At 41.8% G+C, this 7,731-nt stretch overlaps 1 protein-coding gene across 3 annotated transcripts in view; it reads left to right on the top strand.

The window, feature by feature from the left end:
• The window catches only part of DSP (desmoplakin), a 45,044-nt gene extending 40,037 nt beyond the window's left edge, over positions 1-5,007 (top strand). For all 3 annotated transcript variants that reach the window (NM_004415.4, NM_001319034.2, NM_001008844.3), the window contains exon 24: positions 935-5,007. In NM_004415.4, coding sequence (NP_004406.2) covers positions 935-4,171 — 3,237 coding nt within the window. In that variant the 3' untranslated portion in view covers positions 4,172-5,007. The remainder of the gene's footprint in view (positions 1-934) is intronic.

The raw sequence follows: 7,731 nt of genomic DNA on the forward strand, positions 1-7,731 counted from the left end.
CCTGTCATAATCCAGGTAACTGCTTTAAAATAATTTCAATGCTGTGTGCCCTGCTGTTCTTTAATTGCATCAAATGCTGATCTCTGGGTAGCCTGTGTTTGGCCCTGCTTTTAAGAACACTAATACATGTATAACTTCCTCCGAATGTTCCATTCTACTTCTTAGAAGTTAGCTCTTATTTAGTGAGCTATGACATACATTTGTAATGAAAATTTTCTTAAATAGAAGCCATACTAAAGTGTTTCCCTATGCAATTTTTAAAACACTTTTTCTTTTGCCTGCTTAGATGATTTTTTTGCATGGATTATTTAGTGTTCGCTTTTGATCATGGCCCTAGTGTGTTTCCTTTTGTTTGACTTTCCTTCTCCTAACCCTTAATTTAAAAATAACTTATTTAACTTCTACAGACAATATTTGTGTGTGGCTGGGTTGGTGTGTGTGTGTGTGTGTGTGTGTGTGTATATCTATATATTATATATATAATTATATAATTACATAATATATATTTATCTATAATATATATTTTATATAATATATATCTTCATATATTTGTATTGCTTCATTAAGTATGTTCATCTAGCTGTAACAGGTGAGATGTAGGTGTAGCAGGTATGATAACCTGAAACAAAACTCCCCACATTTTTTCAAAGCATAATTATTGTTAAGAGTAAGACAGGTCTGCAACTTACAGTTCCTTCTATAGAAAAAAATAGTAAGTATGAAGCCATTTATTGAAGTGGCAACATATACAGAATTTTTCCCACAAATTTGTAAAATAACAAGCTCACAGTGTATCCAGGGACAATATAGAAAGAAAAAATAAGCAAGGCTTTTTTTTTTAAAGATAGATACACAAAAGAAAGTTAAGTCGTGATAGTAATATGATATGATTCAAAACATTATTTTTTCCCATTTCTTTCTTCTTCAATTCCAGGCATCTAATAGGATTCAGGAATCAAAGAATCAGTGTACTCAGGTGGTACAGGAAAGAGAGAGCCTTCTGGTGAAAATCAAAGTCCTGGAGCAAGACAAGGCAAGGCTGCAGAGGCTGGAGGATGAGCTGAATCGTGCAAAATCAACTCTAGAGGCAGAAACCAGGGTGAAACAGCGCCTGGAGTGTGAGAAACAGCAAATTCAGAATGACCTGAATCAGTGGAAGACTCAATATTCCCGCAAGGAGGAGGCTATTAGGAAGATAGAATCGGAAAGAGAAAAGAGTGAGAGAGAGAAGAACAGTCTTAGGAGTGAGATCGAAAGACTCCAAGCAGAGATCAAGAGAATTGAAGAGAGGTGCAGGCGTAAGCTGGAGGATTCTACCAGGGAGACACAGTCACAGTTAGAAACAGAACGCTCCCGATATCAGAGGGAGATTGATAAACTCAGACAGCGCCCATATGGGTCCCATCGAGAGACCCAGACTGAGTGTGAGTGGACCGTTGACACCTCCAAGCTGGTGTTTGATGGGCTGAGGAAGAAGGTGACAGCAATGCAGCTCTATGAGTGTCAGCTGATCGACAAAACAACCTTGGACAAACTATTGAAGGGGAAGAAGTCAGTGGAAGAAGTTGCTTCTGAAATCCAGCCATTCCTTCGGGGTGCAGGATCTATCGCTGGAGCATCTGCTTCTCCTAAGGAAAAATACTCTTTGGTAGAGGCCAAGAGAAAGAAATTAATCAGCCCAGAATCCACAGTCATGCTTCTGGAGGCCCAGGCAGCTACAGGTGGTATAATTGATCCCCATCGGAATGAGAAGCTGACTGTCGACAGTGCCATAGCTCGGGACCTCATTGACTTCGATGACCGTCAGCAGATATATGCAGCAGAAAAAGCTATCACTGGTTTTGATGATCCATTTTCAGGCAAGACAGTATCTGTTTCAGAAGCCATCAAGAAAAATTTGATTGATAGAGAAACCGGAATGCGCCTGCTGGAAGCCCAGATTGCTTCAGGGGGTGTAGTAGACCCTGTGAACAGTGTCTTTTTGCCAAAAGATGTCGCCTTGGCCCGGGGGCTGATTGATAGAGATTTGTATCGATCCCTGAATGATCCCCGAGATAGTCAGAAAAACTTTGTGGATCCAGTCACCAAAAAGAAGGTCAGTTACGTGCAGCTGAAGGAACGGTGCAGAATCGAACCACATACTGGTCTGCTCTTGCTTTCAGTACAGAAGAGAAGCATGTCCTTCCAAGGAATCAGACAACCTGTGACCGTCACTGAGCTAGTAGATTCTGGTATATTGAGACCGTCCACTGTCAATGAACTGGAATCTGGTCAGATTTCTTATGACGAGGTTGGTGAGAGAATTAAGGACTTCCTCCAGGGTTCAAGCTGCATAGCAGGCATATACAATGAGACCACAAAACAGAAGCTTGGCATTTATGAGGCCATGAAAATTGGCTTAGTCCGACCTGGTACTGCTCTGGAGTTGCTGGAAGCCCAAGCAGCTACTGGCTTTATAGTGGATCCTGTTAGCAACTTGAGGTTACCAGTGGAGGAAGCCTACAAGAGAGGTCTGGTGGGCATTGAGTTCAAAGAGAAGCTCCTGTCTGCAGAACGAGCTGTCACTGGGTATAATGATCCTGAAACAGGAAACATCATCTCTTTGTTCCAAGCCATGAATAAGGAACTCATCGAAAAGGGCCACGGTATTCGCTTATTAGAAGCACAGATCGCAACCGGGGGGATCATTGACCCAAAGGAGAGCCATCGTTTACCAGTTGACATAGCATATAAGAGGGGCTATTTCAATGAGGAACTCAGTGAGATTCTCTCAGATCCAAGTGATGATACCAAAGGATTTTTTGACCCCAACACTGAAGAAAATCTTACCTATCTGCAACTAAAAGAAAGATGCATTAAGGATGAGGAAACAGGGCTCTGTCTTCTGCCTCTGAAAGAAAAGAAGAAACAGGTGCAGACATCACAAAAGAATACCCTCAGGAAGCGTAGAGTGGTCATAGTTGACCCAGAAACCAATAAAGAAATGTCTGTTCAGGAGGCCTACAAGAAGGGCCTAATTGATTATGAAACCTTCAAAGAACTGTGTGAGCAGGAATGTGAATGGGAAGAAATAACCATCACGGGATCAGATGGCTCCACCAGGGTGGTCCTGGTAGATAGAAAGACAGGCAGTCAGTATGATATTCAAGATGCTATTGACAAGGGCCTTGTTGACAGGAAGTTCTTTGATCAGTACCGATCCGGCAGCCTCAGCCTCACTCAATTTGCTGACATGATCTCCTTGAAAAATGGTGTCGGCACCAGCAGCAGCATGGGCAGTGGTGTCAGCGATGATGTTTTTAGCAGCTCCCGACATGAATCAGTAAGTAAGATTTCCACCATATCCAGCGTCAGGAATTTAACCATAAGGAGCAGCTCTTTTTCAGACACCCTGGAAGAATCGAGCCCCATTGCAGCCATCTTTGACACAGAAAACCTGGAGAAAATCTCCATTACAGAAGGTATAGAGCGGGGCATCGTTGACAGCATCACGGGTCAGAGGCTTCTGGAGGCTCAGGCCTGCACAGGTGGCATCATCCACCCAACCACGGGCCAGAAGCTGTCACTTCAGGACGCAGTCTCCCAGGGTGTGATTGACCAAGACATGGCCACCAGGCTGAAGCCTGCTCAGAAAGCCTTCATAGGCTTCGAGGGTGTGAAGGGAAAGAAGAAGATGTCAGCAGCAGAGGCAGTGAAAGAAAAATGGCTCCCGTATGAGGCTGGCCAGCGCTTCCTGGAGTTCCAGTACCTCACGGGAGGTCTTGTTGACCCGGAAGTGCATGGGAGGATAAGCACCGAAGAAGCCATCCGGAAGGGGTTCATAGATGGCCGCGCCGCACAGAGGCTGCAAGACACCAGCAGCTATGCCAAAATCCTGACCTGCCCCAAAACCAAATTAAAAATATCCTATAAGGATGCCATAAATCGCTCCATGGTAGAAGATATCACTGGGCTGCGCCTTCTGGAAGCCGCCTCCGTGTCGTCCAAGGGCTTACCCAGCCCTTACAACATGTCTTCGGCTCCGGGGTCCCGCTCCGGCTCCCGCTCGGGATCTCGCTCCGGATCTCGCTCCGGGTCCCGCAGTGGGTCCCGGAGAGGAAGCTTTGACGCCACAGGGAATTCTTCCTACTCTTATTCCTACTCATTTAGCAGTAGTTCTATTGGGCACTAGTAGTCAGTTGGGAGTGGTTGCTATACCTTGACTTCATTTATATGAATTTCCACTTTATTAAATAATAGAAAAGAAAATCCCGGTGCTTGCAGTAGAGTGATAGGACATTCTATGCTTACAGAAAATATAGCCATGATTGAAATCAAATAGTAAAGGCTGTTCTGGCTTTTTATCTTCTTAGCTCATCTTAAATAAGCAGTACACTTGGATGCAGTGCGTCTGAAGTGCTAATCAGTTGTAACAATAGCACAAATCGAACTTAGGATTTGTTTCTTCTCTTCTGTGTTTCGATTTTTGATCAATTCTTTAATTTTGGAAGCCTATAATACAGTTTTCTATTCTTGGAGATAAAAATTAAATGGATCACTGATATTTTAGTCATTCTGCTTCTCATCTAAATATTTCCATATTCTGTATTAGGAGAAAATTACCCTCCCAGCACCAGCCCCCCTCTCAAACCCCCAACCCAAAACCAAGCATTTTGGAATGAGTCTCCTTTAGTTTCAGAGTGTGGATTGTATAACCCATATACTCTTCGATGTACTTGTTTGGTTTGGTATTAATTTGACTGTGCATGACAGCGGCAATCTTTTCTTTGGTCAAAGTTTTCTGTTTATTTTGCTTGTCATATTCGATGTACTTTAAGGTGTCTTTATGAAGTTTGCTATTCTGGCAATAAACTTTTAGACTTTTGAAGTGTTTGTGTTTTAATTTAATATGTTTATAAGCATGTATAAACATTTAGCATATTTTTATCATAGGTCTAAAAATATTTGTTTACTAAATACCTGTGAAGAAATACCATTAAAAAACTATTTGGTTCTGAATTCTTACTAGAAGGTGGTCTTTTGAAGTTAGTCCTTTCGGTACTTCTCAGATGCCTGTCATGTACCCGATGGAGTCCTTGGAAAGAAGGCCTGTGTAAAGAGGCCAGCCTGGAGGTCAATAACCTGTTCTAGTTTATTCTGGACATTGAGTACCAAGTAGCATTGGCAAAAGTCATCATCATAGCATTGAAAAAACATGAAGTTGCTAAGATGCTTTTTGGGTATCCTCAAAATAGATAGTGTTTCACTTTGTCCCGTAAGAGGAAAGAATTGTCCTGGAACCCATGAAAATGATTTCTGAAGAGTTCTTGGCTCTCTGTTGAAGGACAAGGAAGTATAAGCCTATTCCTTTGGATCAAAGAGAAACTACTGAAATTCACACATTTGTCATTAGATTAACATGACTTCACTGAATACCCACCATGTCTAGTATTGGGTTAGGTACTATGAAGACTGAGTAGAATTTACAAGCCCCCGACAACAAAGCATTGGCAATATGGGTGGGGACAGAAACAGATAAAGCAATCAGTGGGACAACTTTCAAATGTCAGCAGTATATATTAATACAAATTTTATAGTACAGATAGAAAATAGGAAAACATGCTAATTGTATAGAACAAAAATCAAGATTAGATTAATTATTGGGGGCTTTTGGTACTTAGGGTGAAAGTCACCTCCATTCTCATTGCATGGGCTATTTTTCCTCCACAGCACTCTTTTCTTCCTTATTTCACCTCTTCTTCCTTACTCCCTCTCCTAATTTGGAGGAGTTGAAATTAATTTTATGCATTAAATACTGAGTTCGCGTGCCATGCATTGTGCCAGAAGCCATGGAGTCTGTGCTAGAAATACATGGTGAAAAAGAGCCCTCATAATCCAAAAGGAAGAAGAAAATGTGGTAAATGCTGTATTGGGAAAAATGAAGGAAATTCCTTATGCTAGAGCTGGGAGACTATATTAGTCACCTCACCCTGCCATAACAAGATGCCACAGACTGTGAGCGGCTTAAACGGAAGTGTATTTTCTCACAGTTCTGGAAGCTAAAAGTACAAGCTCAAGATGCAGGCAGGGCTGGTTTCTAGTGAAACCTGGCTCATGGGTGGCTATCAGTCTTATCTGATTAGAGTACCCACCCCTCCTTTATGACCTCATTTAACTTTAATTACCTCTTAGGGCTCTATCTCCTTATACAGTCACATTGTGGGTTGGTACTTCAACATAGGCATTTTTGAGGGACTCAATCCAATCCATAACAGAGGCCTAGCCTAGAACAGGAGTCTGGAGACCACTCCAGGAAAGTGATATCAAAACAGATCAGCAGCATCAGTGTAGAGCAGTTCCTCGGGCTGAAACAGTAACTAGAGAGTACAGTCAATTGACAAATCTTTCCTACTCCCTCCAGGCTTGTGCCAATGTTGTCATGAAGCTCTGAGATGACATGGGGCTGTATCCTGAAGAGAGGATATGTTTGACGTGGGCTAAGTTTTAATTTGGTTCACATATACAAACAGGGAAATATACACTAGAACTTTTTATCAGGAGTCATGTCACATCAGAAATAGTCTCACATTTTTCCAGACCAACCAGCTAACTATGGAAATGCAAATAAAAAGTAAGGATACCGGGCTGGGCGCGGTGGCTCACGTCTGTAATCCCAGCACTTTGGGAGGCTGAGGCGAGCAGATCACAAGGTCAGGAGTTCGAGACCAGCCTGGCCAATATGGTGAAACCCCATCTCTATTAAAAATAGAAAAATTAGCAGGGTGTGGTGGCATGTGCCTGTAGTCCCAGCTACTCGGGAGGCTGTGGCAGAAGAATTGCTTGAACCCGGGAGATGGAGGTTGCAGTGAGCTGAGATTGCGCCACTGCACTCCAGCCTGGGTGGCAGAGCCAGACTCCGTCTCAAAAAAAAAAAAAAAAAGATACTGTAGGCAGAGTATGAATACATTAACTTCATACTCCTCTCTTACCAGCTTCTAGCCACTTCTGTATTTTATGGTGCTGCCTATTTATAGTCTTATGACTATTTTTTTAAGTGAGAACCGTGCTATTTGCCTTTAGAAATAATTGTTCACCAAAAAATTCCCCCACAGTTCCTTCACATGGGTAAACAAAGTGCAAAAGGAAACCAAGGTTTGACACTTGGGCTTGAAAAAATTTTAAAAAGTAATATAAAATGGGTTAGATTCTAGGAGTTGAAACCATTTGGGGAAACTACAAGGGCTAATTCCAGGTGTTGGGTAGGAAATGTACAAAGTTAAGCTTGTGTTATCAAAGCAAGAAAGCATTCAAGGACTAATAGGGATACATGAAAGACACAGATGGCTTAATGTGGCTTCCACTGGCCACATTTGGGACAATTTGAGCATCAACAAGAATTATGATGTTAAAGGAGTATATTATATTGAATTAAAAAAAAACCTTAAATCAATAACTTTAAAAACACCTTGATTCCCATAGTGAAGCAAACACTAAAATGGAGGTGTGGAAAGAATGCCAGTTAATAAACATAAAAGGCATGATACTATTGCGGAATCACTTATAACTCCTAATGTAACAACAGATTCAGTGAAGGACTGTATCAAGGAGTTGGGGAACAGGTTATTCTTATGGACTCAAGGTATAATCCACAGATTGCTTACCAATTCCTAAGAGGAAAATGTACTATTAGAATGAAGAGATGTAGCCACCACCTTTACCAAGTGATCAAATTTAGCATTACTAATATAACTG

This window comes from Homo sapiens, chromosome 6 (assembly GCF_000001405.40).
Source record: "Homo sapiens chromosome 6, GRCh38.p14 Primary Assembly".
Classification (NCBI taxonomy): Eukaryota; Metazoa; Chordata; class Mammalia; order Primates; family Hominidae; genus Homo; species Homo sapiens.